We start from the raw sequence: 24,706 nt of genomic DNA on the forward strand, positions 1-24,706 counted from the left end.
TGTAGTCCCTTACTTTGCAATAGGACACCAGAAATTATTTCTCCTATCTAACTGGAATTTTGTACCCATTGACCAACCTCTCCCCATCTCCCCCACCTCTGGTGACCACTATTCTACTCTCTACTTCTGTGTGATCAACTTCTTTATATTCCACATATAAGTGAGATAATGTGGTATTTGTCCTTTTGTACTTGCTTTATTTCACATAATATAAAAAGACAACAAATGCTAGTGAGGATATGGGGAAAGAGAACTTTTATATACACTGTTAATGGGAATGTAAATTAGTATAGCCGTTATGAACAACAGTGTGTAAGTTCCTCAAAATACTAAAAATAGAACTACCATATGATACAATAATCCAACTACTGGGTTTACATCGAAAGGAAATAAAATCAGTATGTCAAAGAGATGTCTGTGCTCCCATGTTTACTGCAGCGCTATTCAAAATAGCCAAGATAGGGAATCAACCTAAATGTCAATCAATGAATGAATGGATTATTAAAAAATGTGGTATGTATGTAAACAATGTAATACTACTCAGCCATAATAATAAACAAAATTCTGACATTTGGAATAACATGGATAAACCTAGAAGTGCCATTTTTCTTAGTGATTACATGTCAAAGGGATTGCTTCTAGCAGCTTGGGAGGAATATTTCTGGGATGTGGAAGATTTGGATCTCAAGAGGGCAGAAACAGTTTTCTCTTGCAAGTTATCTAAAATTAGTGCTCTTTAAAAAGAAACGCTATGAGCCTATAGTCAGGAAGAAACGTGTCCAAAATTTAGTCAACTTGAGGGGAATTTTAAGGCCATCCTGGTCATATCTCAAACTTCAAATGACCAAAAATGAATTATTGATTTTCTTCTACCCTCAAACTTGTCCATTCCCCAGTATTTGTCAACTCAGTTGCAATTGTATTCTTCCAGTTATTTGGGTCAAAAACCTTAGGGTCAACATTGATGCTTTCTACTTTCCCTCTGTCTCCCCCCAACACCACCCCCCCCCCCCCCCGACATCCAATTCCTCTGTAATCTTTATCTAGCTTCCAGCCTTCATCAGGCTTTTCACTCCACCCTAGCCCAGGGCAGCAAAATTGTCCAATGGATTATTAAGTTACTTTCCTAACTATTCTTTCTAGTTTCACTCTTTCTCGTCCTGCAGTCTACTATTTAGACTGCCAAGTTTCTATTCCACTCAAATCCAAAGCTGTTATCTTGGCTTAAAAAGCTCAATATCTTCTTCCTCCTGTTTTCTCCTTACTTTAATCTCGAACTTTGCCCCCACATTCTAGACTCTGTGCATATTTGCCTTTCTGAGTCACATGTGCCTCCTTATTGTCCCTCATACATTCCAATCATGTCTTTGCCTCCAGGATTTATGACTTGCTTTCTTCATTGTTTGAAACACTCCTCATACAGATATCAACATGTCTTTCTTTCTTCTTTCTTCTGTCAGGTCTCGGCTCCCATGTCAAATGTTATCACCTATTTTAGTCTTTCCCTAAGCTCATGTAATATTACAATATTACAACCCTGTTTTTTTCTCCTTAGTTCTTATCACCACTTGATGTATTATTGTGTTTGCTTAACTATTTATTTTGTCTCTCCAATTAGAATGTATGTTCTTTGAGAGCCAGGACTTCTTATATGTTGTTTACTAGAGAAAGTCTGCCAGGAACAGAGTAAGCAATAAGTATTTGTAAAATAAATGAATAAATTTTCTGCCTTAGATTGATGGTTACAAATGGCTACTGACTCCCATTAAAGCACTTCACAATCTTCAGTGAATCAGTGCTATACCCTTTTTTATTCTTTCAGCCCCAGTCTTTGTTACCTTCAGTGATTTAATCATCAACATATTTGATTATCTTGGCTGCACAGATAATCATCCTCAATGTCTGAACTATTGAATGAAAAAGCTATACTTGAAACTAACCTCTTAGCTCTGCAATGCATTTCTCTGCATATAAACACCTGGATTCTCATTTCTCCCCATCCTTTTGACCAACTACAGCTATCTCTGTCTTGATTATGATCTCTAAGTTACTTGACCTCACCCTGGTCTTGCTTCCTCTTCTCTCTCATTCAACCCCTTCTCTCCCAGGATGAGTTCTATAGTCAGTCAATTTGGTAATGTGCTCATTACTGCTCCTAATTCATTCATATTTTAGCAAACACTTAGCGTGGTGAGGCTTCTGATCCTCAGCACTGGTAAAAATCTAACATTTATTGTATCTGTTCTAATTCCTTGGTTTCATGTGGTATCTTTCATCCTACTCAGTAATCTTTTTGTTCACACACAGATTTTTTTTTTTTTTTTTTTGGTCCATGTTTCTATGGTCTGTAGATTCCATTGTATATGGCTTAAAATCATGCCTATGTCCCTCTAAACATAAATCTAATTTCCTTTTTCTATTACAATCAGTAGACAGCTTTATATTTTATTTTATTTTAGTCATTTGATATGAGATTCTCAAAATTGCTCCTTAGCACTAAAATATATCCCTTTTTAAAATACAGTTCATCTCTTTCCTTAACTCCAATATTCAACAAAATATATTATTTTTTTTGTTACCCTAAACCTCCAAATTCTATACTTGCTAACATTCTATCCCATCTTATTTGGGATCTTCTTCCCATATACACATAGGTTATTTTTCTCCAAAAGATTTAATCAATCCTGTCTCTCTGTTTATAATTATTTATTATTTTAATCATTTTATGGTAGTCATTTTTGTTATTTGTCTACTTTGATTAGTTGGGAATTTTTAAGAAAAAAGATAAGGTCTAACTATTTCTAATATTTTCCACATTACAAAGCTATCACTCTATAAATACTGAATGAATAAATGAATGTTATTAAGGCTTTGAAAAGAGCATGGGAAGATATAGAATATTGTATAGATTATTAGATGCCTTTCTCTATTCACCCCAGAATTGCCATAAACTAATAGCTAATTATTCCAAATTTGTGATAGTGGTAGTGTTGGTGGCAGCAAGGCATTATTTACTTAAAATATTTGATATTTTATGGCAACGTTCTTAAAGCTTTCCAAAATCTAAAGCTGAGTCCTGACTAGTCTTAGAGCTTCTTTGGCCTCATTTCAGAGTCTAGTTGAATGATTAATGAAATCCTTACTCTCCATTTCCCTTTTGAAAGTTCTGTTGAATCTCCACTGAATCCAACCTCATTCATCAGGCATGTTGTCTGGAAGAGTCTCAGAGAATCCCTTCTGGGAGTTTTAGAGTCTTCCATTTGACCTTGGAGAGAGATTGATCTTGAAATTGTACTAAGCAACCAAATTTTCCATTTGTTATACTTTCTCCGTGACCACAAAAAGCAAAGGAGTCTATAAATACATTATATTAAGAAAAAATAATATTTGTATTGATTCGCTGGAGTTGCATTTTTAAATTAAAACAAAGGCCTAAATTTTATAATTCTTTCTAGTGTATTTAATTTTGAGAGCTATTAGACGGCTCTCTGTTATTGTCAAAACATATTATGGCCCTTTTCTAATTTTTCTATTCTCATGAGTTTCAGTTCTTGTAGCAAAGATGACAAAAACATTTCATTATTTTTATTTTAGAAAACTTTTTCAAATAGTTTTTACTCAGATTCTTGTTGAGCTGTCTACACAACTTCCTCCGCAAGAAGAAATTTTAAAATCCTCCTTTGAACTATTCTTTAATATAACTGAAGGAGTACATTAAAATTTTTACAAACAAAAGAAACCTATATCCATGACTCTTGTCAGAAATAGGTAGTGTTTAAGGGGAAAGAGAAGTATAATGGAGTTTGAGGAGCTCTGCTTAATTTCTTATTTTGTCACCGAGACTCCACGGAATTTTTTAAAAAATAATAATGGTCCTGTTACAGTCATTCTCCTTCACCTGCTCACTATTTCCACTTAAATGGATTTATGTTGAACCTCCCATACCACACCAGAGTGGTATACTTTTTACAACTGATGAAACTACATTGACACATCATTATCCATTAACATCCATAGTTTATTTCAGGGTTCACTTTGGGTAGTATGCATTCTATGGATTTTGACAAATGAATAATGACATGTAGCCACTATTGTAGCATCATACAAAATAGTTTCACTTCCCTAAAAATTTTCTGTGCTTCAACTCTTCTTCCCTCCTGCCTCCTTAACTCTTGGAAACCACTTTTTACTATATCCATAGTTTTGTTTTTTCCAGAATGCCATATTTTGAAATCGTATGGTATATAGCCTTTTCAGATTGGCTTCTTTTACTAAGTAATGTGCATTTAAGCTACCTCTTTGTCTTTTCATGGCTTGAGAGCTAATTTCTTTTCTTTTCTTTCCTTTTTTTTTTTTTCTTTTTTTTTTTGAGACAGAGTTTTGCTCTATCGTCCAGGCTGGAGTGCAGTGGCGCAATCTCCGCGCACTGCAACCTCCACCTCCTGGGTTCAAGTGATTCTCCTGCCTCAGCCTCCCGAGTAGTTGGGACTACAGGTGTATGCCACCACACCCGGCTAATTTTTTGTATTTTTGGTTGGAGGGGTTTCACTGTGTTAGCCAGGCTGATCTCGATCTCCTGAGCTCGTGATCCGCCTGCCTCAGCCTCCCACAGTGCTGAGATTACAGGTGTGAGCCAGCACGCCCAGCCTGATAGCTCATTTCTTTTTAGTGAATAACATTCCATTGTCTGTATGTATTACATTTATTTATCCATTTACCTACCGCAGGACATCTTTGTTGCTTCCAAATTTGGGTAATTATGAAGAAAGCTGCTATAAACATCCATGTGCAGGACTTTGTGAACATATGTTTCCAACTCCTTTGGATGAATACCAAGAAGCATGACTGCTGGGTTGTATGCTAAGAGTATGTTTAGTTTTGTAAGAAACCACCAAACTGTCTTCAAATTGGCTCTACCATATCACCAGCAATGACTGAGACAGAAATGGATGTACCATATCATCAGGAATGACTGAGAGTTTCCACTGCTTCACATCTTCACCAGCATTTTGTGTTAGTGTTCTGGATTTTGGCCATTCTAGTAGATGTGTAGTGGTTTCTCATTGTTGTTTCAGTTTGCATTTCTCTTATGACATATAACGTGGAACATATTTTCATATGTTTATTTGCCATCCATATATCTTCTTTGGTGAGGTGTCAAGATCTTGGCTCTTTTTAAATTGTGTTTTTAATTTTCTTGTTGTGGAGTTTAAGAGTTTTCTGTATATTTTTTATAATAGTTTTGCATTTACAGTATTTACATATGTAATCCATCCTAATTTTTGTGAAAGGTGTAAGGTCTATGTCTAGATTCTTTTCTTTTTTTTTTTTTTTTTTTTTTGCATGTGAATGTCTAATTGTCCTAGCACTGTTTGTGGAAAAGACTGTTTTTGCTCCATTGTATCATCTTTGCTCCTTTTTTGCAGATCAGTTGACTATATTTATGTGGGTCTATTTTAGGGCTTTCTATTTTGTTCCATTGATCTATTTGTCTATTCTTTCACCAGCACCGTACATTTTGATGACTGTAGCTTTATAGTAAGTCTTGAAATCAATAGTGTTAGTCCTCTAACTTTGTTCTTCTCCTTCAATATTGAATTGGCTATTCTAGTTCTCTTGTCTGTCCATATAAATTTTTGAATCAGTTTGTTCACATAATAACTTACTGAGATTTTGATTGGGATTGTGTTGTATCTATATATCAAGTTAGGAAGAACTGACATCTTGATAATACTGAACCTTCCTATCCACAAACATGAAATATCTCTCCATTTATTTAGTTCTTTGATATTTGAGTTTTGCAGTTTTGCTTATATAAATCTTGTACATATTTTGTTAGATTTATACTAAGTATTTCACTGTTGGAGGGAGTACTAATGTAAATGGCATAATGTTTTTAATTTCAAATTCCACTTACTCATTGCTGGTATATAGACAAATGATTGACTTTTTTATATTAATCTTGTATCATGCAACCTTGCTGTAATCACTTATTAATTTCAGAAAAATATTGTTAATTCTTTTGGTTTTTCCACATAGATAAGTATGTCATCTGAAAATAAAGACAGTTTTATTTCTTCCTTCCCAATATGCCTGTCTTTATTTCTTTTTATAAAAAACAAAAGTATTGCATTAGCTCAGACTACCAATATGATCTTGAAAAAGAAAGGTAAGAGGAACTCCCTTTCGTTTTTCCTTATTTTTGCAGGAAATTGTCTAGATTTTCACCATTAAGTATGATGTCAGCATAAGATATTTTTGTGTGTATATTATTTATCCAGTTAATAAAGTTTTCCTCTATTCCTAGTTTGCTGAGTTATTTGTCTCTCAGCAAAAACTCTCAGATTTGAATGAGTGTTAGATTTTCATCAAGTATTTTTTATGCATTTATGGATATGATCCTGTGATTTTTAGACTGTTAATATGATTACTTACCTTAATTAATTTTTCAATGTTAAATGAGCCTTGCATATTTGAGATAAATTTCCTGGTTATGCCATATAATTATTTTTATGCATAGTTAGATTTAATTTTGTTTTGTTATTATTTTGTTGAGGACTTTACATCTATATTTATGAGAACTATTGGTCTGTAGTTTTCTTGTAATGTCTTTGTCTGGTTTTGGTATTAGCATAATGTTGACCTCACAAAGTAAGTTAAGAAGTATTCCTTCTCCTTCTATCTTTAAGAAGAGATTGTAGAGAACGGATACAATTTCCTCCTTAGATGTATGGTAGAATTCACTGGCAACATATGAAATGTAAAGTAGTTTCCTCCAATTCTGTGAAGAAAGTCATTGGTAGCTTGATGGGGATGGCATTGAATCTATAAATTACCTTGGGCAGTATGGCCATTTTCACGATATTGATTCTTCCTATCCATGAGCATGGAATATTTTTCCATTTGTGTCCGCTCTTATTTGCTTGAGCAGTGGTTTGTAGTTCTCCTTGAAGAGGTCCTTCACGTCCCTTGTAAGTTGTATTCCTAGGTATTTTATTCTCTTTGTAGTAATTGTGAATGGGAGTTCACCCATGATTTGGCTCTTTGTTTGTCTGTTATTGGTGTATAGGAATGCTTGTGATTTTTGCACATTGATTTTGTACCCTGAGACTTTGCTGAAGTTGCTTATTAGCTTAAGGAGATTTTGGGCTGAGACGATGGGGTTTTCTAAATACACAATCATGTCATCTGCAAACAGGGACAATTTGACTTCCTGTTTTCCTAATTGAATACCCTCTATTTCTTCTCTTGCCTGATTGCCCTGGCCAGAACTTCCAATACTATGTTGACTAGGAGTGGTGAGAGAGGGCATCCTTGTCTTGTGCCAGTTTTCGAAGGGAATGCTTCCAGCTTTTGCCCATTCAGTATGATACTGGCTGTGGGTTTGTCATAAATAGCTCTTACTATTTTGAGATACTTTCCATCAATGCCTAGTTTATTGAGAGTTTTTAGCATGAAGGGCTGTTGAATTTTGTTGAAGGACTTTTCTGCATCTATTGGATAATCATGTGGTTTTTATCATTGGTTCTGTTTATGTGATGGATTACATTTATTGATTTGTGTATGTTGAACCAGCTTTGCATCCAAGGGATGAAGCTGAGTTGATTGTGGTGGATAAGCTTTTTGATGTGCTGCTGGATTTGGTTTGCCAGTATTTTATTGAGAATTTTCAGAGGCCTCAGAAATAACACCACACATCTACAACCATCTGATCTTTGACAAACCTGACAAAAACGAGCAATGAGGGAAGGATTCCCTATGTAATAAATAGTGTTGGGAAAACGGGCTGGCCATATGCAGAAAGCTGAAACTGAATCCCTTCTTTACACCTTATACAAAAATTAACTCAAGATGGATTAAAGACTTAAGTGTTAGACCTAAAACCATAAAAACCATGGAAGAAAACCTAGGCAATACCATTCAGGACATAGGCATGGGCAAGGACTTCATGACTGAAACACCAAAAGCAATGGCAACAAAAGGTAAAATTGACAAATGGGATCTAACTAAACTAAAGAAATTCTGCACAGCAAAAGAAACTATATCAGTGTGAACAGACAACCTACAGAATGTGAGAAAATTTTTGCAATCTATCCATCTGACAAAGGGCTAATATCCAGAATCTACAACCAACTTAAACAAATTTACAAGAAAAAAAACAACCCCATCAAAAAGAGGGCACAGGATATGAACAGACACTTCTCAAAAGAAGGCATTTATGCAGCCAACCAACATATGAAAGAAAAAAAAGCCTCATCACTGGTCATTAGAGAAATGTAAATCAAAACCACAATCAGATACCATCTCATGCCAGTTAGAATGGCGACCATTAAAAAGTCAGAAAACAACAGATGCTGGAGAGGATGTGGAGAAATAGGAATGCTTTTACCATTGTGGAAGACAGTGTGGCAATTCCTCAAGGATCTAGAACTAGAAATACCATTTGACCCAGCAATACCATTACTGGGTATATACCCAAAGGATTATAAATCATTCTACTATAAAGACACATGCACACGTATGTTTATTGTGGCACTGCTAACAGCAGCAAAGGCTTGGAACCAACCCAAATGCCCATCAATGATAGACTGGATAAAGAAAATGTGGCACATATACACCATGGAATACTATGAAGCCATAAAAAAGGATGAATTCGTGTCCTTTGCAGGGACATGGATGACGCTGGAAACCATCATTCTGAGCAGACTACCACAAGAACAGAAAACCAAACACCGCATGTTCTCACTCATAAGTGGGAGTTGAATAATGAGAAGACATGGAAACAGGGAGGAGAACATCACACACCATGGCCTGTTGGGGGCTGGGGGGCTAGGGGAGGGATAGCATTAGGAGAAATACCTAACGTAGATGATGGGTTGATGGGTGTAGCAAACCACCGTGGCACGTGTATACCTGTGTAACAAACCTGCACATTCTCCACGTGTACCCCAGAACTTAAAGTATATATGTGTGTGTGTGTGTATATATATGTATACGTATATATATATTTATGTATATATATATGTGTGTGTGTGTATATATGTGTGTGTGTGTGTGTATATATATATATATATATATATATATATATATATATATATATATATATATATATATATATATATATATATATATATATATATATATACACACACACACACACACACACACATAAAGGAATTCACTGGTGAATCCATCCGGGCTTGGTGCTTTCTGTTTTGGAAGGTTATTAATTATTGGTCTGAATTTGTTTTGTTTTTAAATTTTTATTTTTAATTTTATTGGGTACATAGTAGATGTATATATTTATGGGGTACATTAGATGTTTTGATATAGGCATGCAATGTGAAATAAGCACATCATGGAGAACAGGGTATCCATCCCCTCAAGCATTTATCCTTGAGTAATAAACAATCCAACTACTGTATTTAAGTTATTTTGAAGTGTACAATAATTATTGACTATCGTTACCCCATTGTGCTATCAAATAGTAGGTATTATTCCATTGTTTCTAACTATATTTTGTATTGTATCCATTAACCATCCCCACTTCCCTACTATTAATAACTCCTAATTACCCTTCTCAGCCCCTGGTAACCGTTCTACTCTGTATGTTCATGAGTTCAACTGTTTTGGTTTTTAGCTCCCATAAATGAATGATAAAATGAAGTGTTTTTCTTTCTGTACATGGCTTGTTTCACTTAACATAATGATCCACAGTTCCATCTATGCTGTTGCAAATGACTAGGTCTCATTCATTTTTATGACTGAATGGTACTCCATTGTATATATGTACCACATTTTCTTTATCCATTTATCTTTTTATGGAAACTTAGGTTACTTCCTCTTATTAGCTATTGCAAACAGTGCTGCAACAAACATAGGAGTGCAGATATCTCTTCAATATACTGATTTCTTTTCTTTTGGGTATATACCCAGCAGTGAGATTGCTGGATTATATGGTAGCTCAATTTTTAGTTTCTTGAGGAAGCTCTAAACTGTTCTCCATAATGGTTGTACTAATGTACCTTCCCACCAACAGTGTACAATAGTTCCCTTTTCTCCACATCCTTGCCAGCCTTTGTTACTGCCTGTTTTTTGGATATAATCTATTTTAACTAGGGTGAGATGATAGCTCATTATAGTTTTGATTTGCATATCTCTGATGATCCGTGGTGCTGAATACCTTTTCATATGTTTCTTTGCCATTTGTATGTCTTCTTTTGAGAAATGTCTATTCAAATATTTTGCCCATTTTTTGATCCAATTATTAGATTTTTTCCTACAGAGTTTTTCGAGCTTCTTATATATTCTGGTTATTAATCTTTTGTCAGATGGGTAGTTTGCAAATATTTTCTCCCATTCTATGGGTTGTCTCTTCATTTTGTTGATTGTACCTTTTGCTGTGCAGAATCTTTTTAGCTTGATGTGATTCTATTTGCCCATTTTTTGTTTTGGTTGCCTGCACTTTTTGGGTATTGCTCAATAAATTTTTGCCCAGACTAATGTCCTGGAGATTTTTCCCAATATTTTCTTGTAGCAGTTTTATAGATTGAAATCTTAGATTTAAGTCTTTAATTCACTTTAATTTGATTTTTGTATATGGTGAGAGATAGGATTCTAGTTTCATACTTCTGCATATGGATGTCCAGTTTTCCCAGAAAAATTTATTGAAGAGACTGTCTTTTTCCCAGTGTATGTTCTTGGCACCTCTGTCAAAAATGAGTTCACTGTAGGCAGTGTGGATTTATTTCTGGGGTCTCTATTCTGTTCCATTGGTGTATGTGTCTGCTTTTATGCTTGTACCATGCCCTTTTGGTTACTATAGCTCTGTACTATAATTTGAAGTCAGCTAATATAGTTCCTCCAGTTTTGTTCTTTTTGCTTAGGATGGCTTTGGCTCTTCTGGGCCTTTTTGTGTTTCCATATAAATTTTAGAATTGTTTTTAATATTTCTGTGAAGAATGTCATTAGTACTTTGATAGGGATTGCACTGAATCTGTGGATTGCTTTGGGTAATAAGGATATTTAACAATATTAATTCTTACAATCCATGAACATGGAATATTTTTTCAAATTTTGTTGGCTTCTTCAATTTCTTTCATCAGTGTTTTATATTTTTCATTATAGAGATCTTTTATTTCTTTAAGATAATTATTGTTTCATTTTTTGCATGGCTATTATAAATGGGATTATATTTGTATTTCTTTTTCAGATTGTTCATTGTTGTCATATTGAAATGCTAATGATTTTTATGTTAATTTTGTGTATGCACATTTACTGAATCTATTCATCACTTTTTTTGTTTTTTGGTTTGTTTTGAGATGGAATCTCACTCTGTCACCCAGGCTGGAGTGCAGTGGCATGATCTTGGCTCACTGCAACCTCCACTTCCTGAGTTCAAGCAATTCTCCTGCCTCAGCCTCCCGAGTAGCTGGGATTACAGGCAAAAGCCACCATGCCTGGCTACTTTTTGTATTTTAGTAGAGATCGGGTTTCACCACGTCAGCTAGGCTGGTCTCGAACTCCTGACGTCAGGTGATCCACCCACCTAGGCCTCCCAAAGTACTGGCGTTACAGACGTGAGCCACTGCACCTGGCCTGTTTATCAGTTTTAAAAGGTTTCCTGTGGAGTCTTTAGGATTTTCCAAATATAAGATCATATCATCTGCAAATAAGGGTCATTTGACTTCTTCCTTTCCATTTTGGATGCCTTTTATATCTTTCTCTTGTCTGATTGCTCTAGCTAGGACCTCAAGTACTATGTTGAATAATAGTGGTGACAGTAGGCATCCTTATCATGTTCCTTATCTTCGAAAAAAGGCTTTCAGTTTTTTCCCATTCAGTATGATACTATCTGTGGGTCTGTCATATATGGCTTTTATTATTTTGAGGTACGCTCCTTCTATAACAGTTTTTTAGGGTTTTTATCATGAAGGGATGTTGTATTTTATCAAATGTTTTTTCAGCATCAATTGAAATAATCATATTGTTTTTATCCTTCATTCTGTTGATATGATGTATACATTGATTGATTGGTGTAGGTTGTTTCTCCTTGCTTCCCAGGGATAAATCCCACTTGGTCACAATAAATGATCTTTCTAATGCATTGTTGTATTTGGTTTGCTAGTATTTTGTTGAGGATTTTTGCATCAATGTTCATCAGAGACACCGGCCTGTAGTTTTCTTTTTCTGACGTGTCTTTGTCTGGTTTTGGTATCAGGGTAATACTGACCTTGTAGAATGAGTTTAGACATATTTCCTCCTCCTTTATTTTTTAAGAATAGTTTGATAGGATTGGTATTAATTGTTTAAATGTTTGGTAGAAATCAGTGGTAAAGCCATGGGTCCCCAGGCTTTTCTGCATTGGAATTCTTTTTATTATAGCTTTGATTTTGTTACTTGTTATTGGTCTCTTCAGGTTTTGAATTTCTTCTTGGTTCAATCTTGGTAGGTTGTATGTATCTAGGAATTTGTCCATTTTTTCTAGATATTCAAATTTATTGGCAGATAGTGGCTCATAGTAGACATTAATTATCTTTAGAATTTCTGCAGTATTAGCTGTAATATCTCCTTTTTAATCTCTGATTTTATTTATTTGTATCTTTTTCTTCTTAGCCTGGCTATAGGTTTGTCAATTTTGTTTAACTTCTCAAAAAACCAACTTTCTGTTGCACTGATCTTTTATATGTTTTTATTTCAATTTTATTTCTTCTCTAATCTTCTTTCTACTAAGTTTGGGTCTGATGTGCTCTTGCTTTTCTAGTTTCTGAAGAAGTATCATTAGATTTTTTATTTGAAGTTTTTCTACTTTTTTGATGTAGACATTTATAGCTATAAACTTCCTTCTGAATATTGCTTTTGCTGTATCCCATAGGTTTTCATATATTGTTTCCATTGTTATTTGCCTCAAGACATTTGTATCTTCATATGATTTCTTGTTGCTCATTAACATCTTTCTTTCTGATTGAAGTACTCCCTTTAGAATTTCGTGTAGGATAGATCTGGTATTAATGAAATCCCTCAGCTTTTGTTTGTCTGGGAACGTCTTTATTTCTCCTTCATGTTTGAAGAATATATTAACCAGATATACTATTCTAAGGTGAAAGTTTTTTTCTTTCAGCACTTTAAATATGTCATTCCACTCTCTCTTGGCCTGTAAGGTTTCTGCTGAAAAGGCGGCCGCCAATTGTATTGGACCTCCATTGTATGTTATTTGTTTCTTTTCTCTTGCTGCTTTTAGGATCCTTTCTTTATTCTTGACCTTTGGGAGTTTGATTATTAGATGCCTTGAGGTGTGTTCTTTGGGTTGTCTTCTTGGTGTTCTATGACCTTCTTGTACTTGGATACTGACATCTTTCTTTAGGTTTGGGATGTTCTGTGTCATTATCCCTTTGAATAAACTTTGTACCCCTACCTCTTTCTCTACATCCTTTTAAAGGCCAATAACAGATTTGTCCTTTTGAGGCTATTTTCAAGATCCTGTAGCTATGCTTCATTGGTTTTTATTCTTTTTTCTTTTGTCTCCTCTGACAGTGTATTTTCACATAGCCTGTCTTCAAGCTCATTAATTCTTTCTTCTGTTTGATCAATTCTGCTATTAAAGGACTCTGATGCATTCTTCCATGTGCCAATTGCATTTATCAGCTCCAGAATTTCTGCTTGATTCTTTTTAATTATTTCAATCTCTTTGTTAAATTTATCTGATAGAATTCTGAATCCCTTCTATGTGTTATCATGACTTTTTTTTTTTTTTTTTTTAGTTTCTTCAACACAGCTATTTTGAGTTCTCTGTCTGAAAGGCCACATATCTTTGTTTCTCCAGGATTGGTTCTTGATGTCATATTTAGTTCATTTGGTGAGACAGTATTTTCCTAGATGGTGTTGATGCAAGTAGATGTTCTTCTTTGCCTTGGCGTTGAAGAGTTAGGTATTTATTGTAGTCTTCACTGTTTGGGCTCATTTGTAGCCATCCTTCTTGGGAAAGCTTTCCAGATATTTGAAAGGACTTGGGTGTTGTGATCTAAGCTGTATCTCCTTTAGGGGGCACCCCAAGCCCAGTAATGCTGTGGTTCTTACAGACTCATAGAGGTACCGCCCTGATGGTCTTGAACAAGATCTGGAAGAATTCTCTGGATTGTCAAGCAGAGACTCTTGTTCTCTTCATTTACATTCTCGCAAACATACAGTCTCTATCTCTCCGTTAAAAACCATGTAGAGCTGGGGGTGGAGTGATACTAGCACCCCTGTGGCCACCAGCACTGTGACTGTGCAGGGTCAGACCTGAAGTCAGCACAGCACTGGGTCTCACCCAAGGCTTGCTGTAACCACTCACTGGCTGCTGCCTATGTTTGCTTTAGGCTCTGGAGCTCTACAATCAGCATGAGGCAAAGCCAGATAAGCCTGCGACCTGCTCTTCAGGGTGGTGAGATCCTCCAGACTCCAGGTGAGTCTAGGGGTGCAATCCAGCATTAAGAGACTAAAGTCTAAAACCTTAGAAGTCTACCTGGTATTCTATTGTACTGTGGCTGACCAGACAGTCAAACCACAAGATACACTTCTTCCTACTCTTCTGTCCTCTTTCCAAAGGCAAAGGCACTTCACCCTGTAGCCACCCCTGGCCACAAGGCATACTACCAGACTACGCCAACTTTCCCTTAAGGCCCAAGGGCTCTCAAGTTAGCTTGTGGTGAATGCTGCCTGACCTGGGACTCACCCCATAAGGCAGTGGGCTCCCCTCTAGCCCAGGGCAGGTCCAGAAATGCCATCTAAGAGTAAAGTGCTAGAATCAGGGATCCCAAGAGGCTTCTTTGTGCTCTAACCCTCTGTGGCTATGCTGGCATCTAAGGTACAAGAAAAAGTCCCCTTTACTTTTCCCTCTGCTTTTCTCAAGCATAAGTGGTTTTGTCCCATAGCCACCATAGCTGGTAATGTGATGAGTATCAACTGAAGCCAGCATGTCTCAGAGGCTCACCCATGGCCCTCGACAGAGTACCTGGGTATCACTGATGATTATTTGGGGCCCAAAGGCTCTTTAGTCACTAGGTGATGAATGCTACCAGCACTGGGTCCTTTCCTTCAAGGCAGTTTCTAGACAAACCCTCTGGCCCAAGGTTTGTCTAGAAATACCATCTGGGAGCTAGAGCCTGCACCAAGGGCCTCATGATTCTGATCTGTACCCTGTCTTTCTGTGGCTGAGCTGGTATTCAATAGGCAAGTCAAAGTCCTTCCCCCTCTTCCCTCTCCTCTCCTCAAACAGAAGGAAGGGGTCTCTTTGGATCCAAAGGCTGTGCAGACTGGGATTAGGGTACGGTGATGCCAGTACTCTCTTGGCTGCTCCAGCAGGTGGAGTACCTCAGTAGGTCCTGTGCCCCTCCCCCGCAGTCTACTGTCTTTGGGCCTAGTTTAGCACTAGCACTCACCTAAGGGTTGCAGTCCTTATGGCCTACACTGCCTTTCATGTTTAGTTGGAGACAGACCTCACCGTAGCCCTCAGTGGGAGGTTTGCAGGAACTCAAGTTCAGACTGCTGGGAGAGGTGATTACCCTCTGGGTAGAGCTGATTTAAATGCTCCCTCCATGGGCAGGTGTCAGCTGAGTTTGGCCAGGTTTTCCTTTCTGCTGTAATAGGATAGCACTGAGTCATTGCCTCACAATTGCTATGTTCTCCCTCCTCCAGCACCCAGAGATGCTCTCCTGAGGCCCAGACCACCACTGCCAGCCATGGAGGAGGAGTGGCGTTGGCGATTCAGGACTGCTTTTTCTGTCTCTTCAGTGCCTCTCTCAGCAACATGAAGGTAAAAACCAGGTACTGTGAGTGCTCACCTGATTTTTAGTTCTTGATGGTGTCTTTTCGTTGTAGATAATTGTTAAATTGGCATCCTTGAGAGGGGAACAATCAGTGGAAACTTCTAGTCTGCCATCTTCTTCCACCTCCCCTGATTTGATTTTTAATAGATTTATGTCTATCCCTTACATTTCTTTTGTAAGAATGTTTTCCTTTGTAACAAGAAATAACTATGTATTTGTTGAGAAATTGTGTCTTTTAAGGAATTGGCCTATTTTATCTAAGTTTTCCCAGTACTTTTAGTTCTGATATTAGTAATTAGTATCATCTCTATTCTTAGCTTTTCAATTTTTTCATCTTTTCAAAAAACCATCTTTTGGTTTTCTCTATTGATTTCTTGTTTTTAATTTCATTGATTTCTGCTCTAATTTTTATTATTTCTTTTCTTCTGCTTACTTTTGATTTTATTTACTCTTTCAAGTTTCCTAAGGTGGAAAACTAGAAATATCTTTCTCAATCCATTTACTTTTGCTATATGGAAGTAATTTCTCTAATGTTTGCAATATACCCTTACAGCTAATGCAAACCCACTTTCAAAGAGCATGCTATTGCTTCACAGGTAGTATGAATACCTTATATTTTAAAAAAATAATTAAAATGCCTTCCTCCCATTTCTTGTATCATAGCTGTCATTTACATCTAAGCATATATACTGTTCTTAGATACTGATATGGTTTGAATTTGTGTCCCCACACAAATCTCATGAGGAATTGTAATCCCCAATGTTGAAGGAAGGACCTGGTGGGTGGTGATTGGCTCAGAGGGGCCGATTTCTCCTTGCTTTTCTCATGATAGTGAGTGAGTTCTCATGAGATCTGGTTGTTTAAAAGTGTATAGCACCTCCCCCTTCTCCCTCTTCCTCCTGCTCTTGCCAGGTAAGACGTTCCAGCTTCCCCTTCACCATCCATCATTCTTGTAAGTTTCCCGAGGCCTCCTCAGAAGCAGAAGCCTGTACAGCCTGTAGAACCATAAGCCAATTAAACCTCTTTCCTTTATAAATTACCCAGTTTCAGGTATTTATTTGTAACAGTACAAGAACGAACTAATGCAGACACACACACACACACACACACACACAAAGATATATGTGTAAGCATACATAATGAAATACATTGTTGCTATTACTTTATGAACAAAATGTTATCTATTAGACCAACTAAGAATAAGAAAAATAAAAGCTTTTGTTTACCTTCATTTATTCCTTCTCTAATGCTCTTCCTTTTTTACGTAGATATGTGTTTCTGACCTATATCATTTTTCTTCTTTTCAAATAAATAACTTCTTTTAACAATTCTTGCAAGACAAGTCTACTGGCAACAAATTTATTCAATATTTATTTGTCTGAGAAAGGTTTTATTTCTCCTTCACTTTTTAAAATTGTGAAATAACACTTAACATGAGATCTGTTAACAATTTTTAAGTGTACACTACATAATTTTTGACTGTAGGTACAATATTGTAGAATAGATCTCTAGGCTTGTTTATGTTGCTTGAGTGAAAGTTTATATCTGTTGATTTCCAACTCCATTTCTCCATCCTCCAGCCCCTGGTTACCACCATTCCACACTTTGATTCAATGAATGTAACTATGTTAGTTACGTTACATAAATCATGCATTGTCTTTTTGTTACTGGCTTATTTTATTTAATATAATGTCTTTAGGTTGCATCCATGTTGTTGCATATTGCAGAATTTCTTTATTTTAAAAGGCTGAGTAGTATTCCATTGTATGTATATATCACATTTTCTGTATCCATTCATCTGCTGATGGCATTTAGACTATTTTTATTTCTTAGCTGTAATGAATAGTGCAACAATGAACACAGAAGTGTTAATATATCCACAAGATCATGATTTCAGATCCGGAATGGGATTTCTGGATCATATGGCAGTGCTATTTTTAAATTTTTGAGGAACCTTCTTACTATTTATAGCAGCTGCGCCATTTTGCATTCCCCTCAGCAGTACCATGCAAGGGTACCAATTTCTTTCCCTAGTATTGTTTCTTCTTCTACTTTTTTTAAGTAATAGTCATCCTGGTAGGTTTGATATAACACCTTATCATGGTTTTGATTTGCATTTACATTAAGATCAGAAACATTGAGTACTTTTTCATCTACCTCTTGGGCATTTACGTGTCTTTTTGGAGAAACGTCTATTTGAGTCCTTAGCCCACTCTCACTTCTACGAATTTTAATGTTTGGGATCTTACATTTAGGTCTTTAATCTGTTTAGAATAAAGTTTTGTGTACGGTGTGATATAAGGGTCCAGTTTCATTCTTTTGCATGTGGATTCCAGTTTTCTCAGTACCATTTATTGAAGAGACATTCTGTTTTTCATTGTGTATTTTGGCACCTTTCTGGAAAGTCAGTTGACTGTAAATATGTAGATTTGTTTCTAGGCTCTGTATGCTTTTCCATTGGTTTTTATGTCCATCTTTATGTCAGTGCATTCTGTTTAGATTACTGTAATTTGTAATGTATTTTAAAATCAGAAAATATGGTGTCTATGGTTTTATTCTGTTTGCTCAAGATTTATTTAGCTATTCAGAGACTTTTGTGGTTGCATGTGAATTTTAGAATTGTTTCTATATCTGTAAAAAAATACCATTGGGATTTGGTAGAGATTACTTTGGGTAGTGTGGACATTTTAACAATATCATGTTGTTCAATCCATGAAGATGGAAAGTCTTCATATTTGTTTTCTTCTGGTTTAATTTCTTTTATCAATGTTTTGTAGGTTTCAGTATATAAGTCTTTGACCTCCTTACTGAAGTTTATTCCTAGTTTATTCTTTTTGTGCTGTTTTAAATGGGATTTTCATAGTTCCCTCTTCAGATAGTTCATTGTTAGTATATAGAAGTGCAACTGATTTTTGTAAGTTGATTTTGTATCCTACAACTCTACTGAATTCATTCAATTTTTCTAACAGTTTCTAAAAGTTAACAGATTATACCATCTACACCAGGGAACATTTTACTTTTTCTTTCTTATTTGAATGACTTTTACTTCTTTTTCTTGCCTACTTGCTCTGGCTAGGACTTCCAGTAGTATGTTTAATAGAAACGGTAAAAGTGGGCATCCTTGTCTTGTTCTTGATATTGGAGGAAAAACTTTAAATTTTTCACTGTCAAGTATGATGTTAGCTGTGGGCTTATCATATTTGACCTTTATTATGTTGAGGTAATTTCTTACTTTTCGTAATGTGTTGAGAATTTCTATCATGAAAGCATAATTAATTTTGATAAGTGCCTTTTCTGCATTTATGATCCTGTAATTTTTATTTTTTATTATGTAATGTGCTATATTGATATTGTATAATAACATACATTAATTTTAAAAAGTTGAACCATCCTTATGTATCAGGTATAAATCCCAATAATCATAGTGTATGATTCTCTTAATGTTAGTATGATTCTCTTAATGTTATGTTGGACTCAGTTTGCTAGTATTTTATTGAGGAATTTTGTATTCAAATTTACCAAGGATCTTGGCTTTGTTTTCTTTTTTGTGATGCCTTTGTTTTCTTTTTTGTGATGCCTTTGTCTGGCATTGGTATAAAGGTAATGCTGGCCTGATAAAATGCATTTGAGTGTTCCTTGAGGTATGAAGTTAAATTGTTAATTAATATCCTTCCTCTTTATAATATAGTCATTCATTACTGTCAACTGCCCTCTTGGTACTGCTTTTGCTTCATTTCATTACTTTTGGTACGTTGTGCTTTTGTTTTTGTGGGGGAAGATAAAGCATTCTTATAGTTTATAAATCTGTGTGAGGGTTTGGGTACACCTGTGCTCTGGGACTGTGAACTTCGCCAGTGATTCTCAGTATTTTTTTTCCCTTAAGTGAGACAGAATGGCTAGAGGGTACTGGAGTTGGGTATTTCCCTTCCCCAGGTAAGTTAGACTCTGAAAAACAAACAAAACAACAAAACAAAACAAAACAAGGAAACAGCAGGTTAGGCTCTGGTAAAATAGTTTCTCTTGAATGCAGGCCTTTTTAAAGGACAGAATGCTATTGTGAATTCGAAATGTTTATTTTTTCCCTCCTTCATTGGAAGCCCTAGGAGATTTTTCTCAGATATTCACTATGAGAACCTGGTAAGGTTCCCGGAGGTAAGACTCAAAAAATTGTGGGGATCTGCCTGTGGCTTAACCTCCCTGAAAATTTTAACTCTCAGACTGATTCATACTGAGCCTCCAGCAATTAATCAATTACAGTTCATTTCTAAGTACTAATTTCCATGGAGGTTTCTTATCATGTGTTTCTGAGCTTGCGATGCTCTGTATTTGCCTGTCTCTCCAATTTTGGGTGTTAATAGATTACCCTATGACTGACTTCACTTCTCTGATGATCTAAGGGGAGTTTGTTTATTTTGTTCAGGTTTTTTTCTTGTTGGGATAAATTTGTAACTTCCAACCTGTTTACATGCTAGACTAGAAACCACAAGCCCAAAATATATTTTTTTCACTTAACCAATTATGAACATATTTCTCTCAATGAATATTTGCTTATTATCATCTCTAAAGGCTAGAAAGCCTTTCATCATTATTTACTTAACTTTTCCTCAAAATATTCTGGTTGTAATAAGCCACGCTATGGGAATAGTCTAATGTCTAAATCCTTAGACATTTGTTCATTTGTCCTTTATAGGATACATATTTTAAGTGGAAAGGGATGCACATTAATATTTTCTCATTTTATAAGGCCCCAGCAGTGCATGAATGTCCTCATTGTCCCACCCTTCCAACATAAATGATGATTTTAATTTTTAAAACTTAAATAGAAGAAAAATGCAGTTTATTTATTACTAGGTCCATATCTTCTGACTCCAGAGATTCTTCGTGTAACTTGTATTTTGATAGTATATAATAATATTCTTGGTAATTTATTATAAATTAATTTTTTAGGATCAAAACAAATTGAGGTCAAACTTGTTTCATGACTTGAGTGAAACACTTTTATTAGCCAAAGATAGCTTGTATTTTCTACCAACTAAAAAACCATTTTTTAAATTTATGATCCCTAAATACTTATTCTCTGAAGCTCACATCGACCCTATTGTCTTGAAATATTTTATTTTGAAAAGCAGGGATTTCTTCGTGACAGCCTTAACAGTATTGAAAAGAAAATTGCCCCACAGAGATAGTTTAGCCAGAGTCATAGTCTGAGTCCTGTTTGGGTCATACTGAAAGGATTAAATTTTTTCTATTTCTATTTTTACTTTAGCTTCAGTCCAAAAAAAAAAAAAAAAAGGCAGGAAAAACCACTAATCTCATATTAGCTTTAGGGCCACACTTTAATACCACTTTATCTAAATTTAGCTGCATTCCTTCCTCGTTAAAATGTTTGTTTAGAGCAGCTAAAAAGTAGGCATAAAATGCTCATGGTTTTACTATGAAATATATACACAAAGATAACTAGTTCCTTTCTAATTTAGACTTTATAATGGGGACCAAATGACATTCAAAATGTATTTTAAGAGAAATTAACAAGTATGACGAAATACTAACTAACTCCTTAGCCCCTTGTGTTGTTAAACTTTTTATTCCTTAACAACTTTATGCAAAAGATAGTAAAGGAACCTTCTTTAGACTTGTGGTAATTAGATATCTTTGCTACTAAACAAAATAAGCCATTTCCTTCTGTCAGTATATTATTAATATTATGATCAAAATGTCATGTAAGGTGAAATTATTTACATTCGAAATTTCCTTCTGTAGAAGTTTTTCTTTTAATTAAAAGTAAAATTTACCATTTTATTAATTCTTATGGCCCTGGAAAAAAATTATGTCACTTTTAAACATAATGCTTTTAAAAATATATTGAAAATCCCATTCCCAGAAAACTAGTCATTTGTTGAACACTATTTCAGACTTTTTTCTGTGCATCCACATGAATGCAAATTCTAAACATGTTATGAAACAGAGGTACATGGTGGTAGGAGAGAGTAAACTAAGGAGACACCATACATTGGGTACCTCTAAAAATTCCCCGAGATAATAAATTAGATAAAGGAAGTTTATTTGAGAATTTATCCCTGGAGCATAAGTGAGGTAATAGGGAAAGTGATCTAGGGAAGAAAACAATTTACTAAAAAGTGAGCTATCTCCGTGGACAGCAGGAATTCCTTCCTGCTAGAGACCGTCTAAAGCATTAAAGAACTCTGTGTAACACATATCAGAATTGTCCCACCAATATATGAGGAATCGGGGATAGTTTTCCACTGATTCTTTTTTCTCACTGGTCAAGATTTGCCTCTGGGGCATTGAATTCTAGGCACCCTCAGGTTGGCCAGCTCATAGGTTAAAAGCCCCAGTAGTTCCCAAGCAAGCCAGGCAAATAAGCAAAAAAATGACACAGGCACCTGAAATGGGAAGAGATCAGTGTGCACAGAAACTGTCCACTCAGCCGCAGATCAACTCAGAAGTGGATGGGGTTGTAATTTAACAATATGTGCTACAGGAAAATTGAGCTACTGATGAAGGCTTGAAAAGATTCCCCCAAAGGAGAAACACTGAAAGTAATAAGAACATTCGTTTTTGTAATAAAAGCAATGGAAGCCATTAAAATGTTTTAATCAGTGGCTTACAATGAATAGACATGTACCTTGAAAACCTTAATCTGGCTGCAGATTGAAGATCCAACACGATAACAGCCAGAACCAATAAGTATATGCTCCTTCCAAGATTACTGTAGTTGCCTAGGCTGGAGGTGACGAGGTTCTTATACTAATATAGTCCAGAGTTTAAACATATAGAGTTGCACCAGTCTGCCCAGGTTTGTACCTCTCTGTGCTCCCTTGTAGTAACTCACATAACCTCCTATGTCAAGATTCATTATTTGTAACATGGTAATAAAAGTACAATTTACCTCAGAAGTAGCTGAGAAAATTAAATGGGTTAGTAAATATAAAAAGCTTTTAGAAGAGTGCTTACACATAGTAAGGTGCTCTATTAATTTTAGCTATTACTTTTAAGGAGGTATAGTTGGAGATAAAATGGAAAAACAGGATATGTTTAGGAAGAGTAGTCAGGGTGACCTGATAGATGTGACTTTAGGTATAAGGAAGTTTCAAGACAGATTTCTGGGTTGTGCCTTAAATAATTGGATAACAAATGGTGTTAGTCATTGAGACAGTGAAAACAGGAAGAAAACAAGATTCAAGAGGAATATTTCCTGGCTGTATTTGGGACATGCTGGATCTGAATTAAGCTGGAGATATCCAAGAGGAAACACCAAGTAGGCAGTTGCATATAAAGGTTTAGAGCTTAGATGAGAGATCTGAGATAGAAATACAAAGTTGTGAGTCATCTAGATAGAATTGGGAATTGAAAGGACGGTGTAGATGGGCTGAGCACAGAGAGAGAACAGAAAGCTGCACGTAACAAAGAAATGTTAATAGAACATAGTGTTAGGTTTAGGCAAAACTGTGAAGTATGTAAAATTTTGGGTTTTCTACTCAAACATTTCTATTTTCCTGCCTTTATATTGATAGCCCTTATAAATTTTTGAATGAATTCATATTGCTTTTAGCTACCCATTTATTTATTGAGCAACAACTTGTGGAACAACTCCCATGGACCAGAGACCATTCTCCATGCTAAGTATATAGCAATGGACAAGAGAGAAATATTCTTTACTCTCATGAAGTTTGATAAATATCGTATAGTGAAAAAGCTAAGCAGAGAATGAAAGTAAGGTGTGGTGGTAGAATATGACTGACTACATTAGTTTGGGTAAAGAAAAGTCTCTCTGAAGAGATGGCATTTAAGCAGAGATTTCAAGGATAAGATGGAAGCTGGCATTTGTCCACCAAGTAGAAGACCATTCCATATAAAATTCATCCACTCTTAAAAACAAACTAGTGGACTAAAGGAGCAGAGAAGGACTATGTGGCTACAGGGAAAGAATTATGGGAAATAAATTTAAAAGGGTGGTCAAGGACTAGATAGTGTAAGGCTTTAAAAACAAGAGGAAGAAGTATGATAATAAATACATACAATAGTAAAACAGTGTAGAGTTTTAAGGAAAAGAATGATGTGATCCAATTTATGTTTTAAAAATATCACTATGGCTGCTCTATGGGCAATATGTTACAGAAAAGATAGAACCAAAGCAAAGAGACCATCTTAGAAGGCTAGTGTTATAATCCAGATACAAGGGATGGTAACTTGTACAAGATTGGAAGTATGTAGTGTAAAACAGAGAGAATTAAACAAAATACACTGAATAATTAGATTAAAAAAAGGAGAGAAATCATACATAATTCTTAGATTTTAGGCATCTGTAATACAATGGTGCCATAGACTGAAATAGAGAATACTGTGGGAAAATTACCTTACCTATAGAGAGATATGGATAAGAATAACAGTAGATTTTTCAAAAGAAACTATGCAAGAAAGAAAAGAGTGGACTGAAATATTTAAAGTTCTGAAAGAAAAAATCAACCTAGAATTCTATATTCAGTGAAATTATCCTTCAAAAAGTGTACCTAGAAAAAAAAGAAATTCATCATAAGCAGAATGCCTTTGCAAAAAATGTTGAAAGTTCTTCAGGCAGAAGGGAAAGGATATAGGTTAGAAAATTTGATCTGTGTAAAGAAAGTCATGGCATCAGAGAAACAATGAAGAAGGTAAAATAAAATGTATTTTATTATTTATAATTGATTTAAAAGATAACTGTTAGCTTAAAGCAATAATAACAGTAAGTATTGGGTGATTATAGGACATGGTAAATCAAATGAATGATAGTAATGCCATAATAGATGGGAGGAAGAAATTGAAAATATGCTATTATCAAGTAATTGTGCTGTACTGAAATGGCAGAGTATTTTTAAATGGGCCGAAATTAGTTAAGAATG

At 35.4% G+C, this 24,706-nt stretch overlaps 1 long non-coding RNA gene across 1 annotated transcript in view; it reads right to left on the reverse strand.

Annotated features, from left to right (window-relative positions):
- MACC1-OT1 (MACC1 3' UTR overlapping transcript 1) overlaps positions 1-24,706 on the reverse strand; it is a 221,446-nt gene that overhangs the window by 49,987 nt on the left and 146,753 nt on the right. The gene's annotated exons all lie outside the window — the stretch shown is intronic.

This window comes from Homo sapiens, chromosome 7 (genome assembly GCF_000001405.40).
Source record: "Homo sapiens chromosome 7, GRCh38.p14 Primary Assembly".
Classification (NCBI taxonomy): Eukaryota; Metazoa; Chordata; class Mammalia; order Primates; family Hominidae; genus Homo; species Homo sapiens.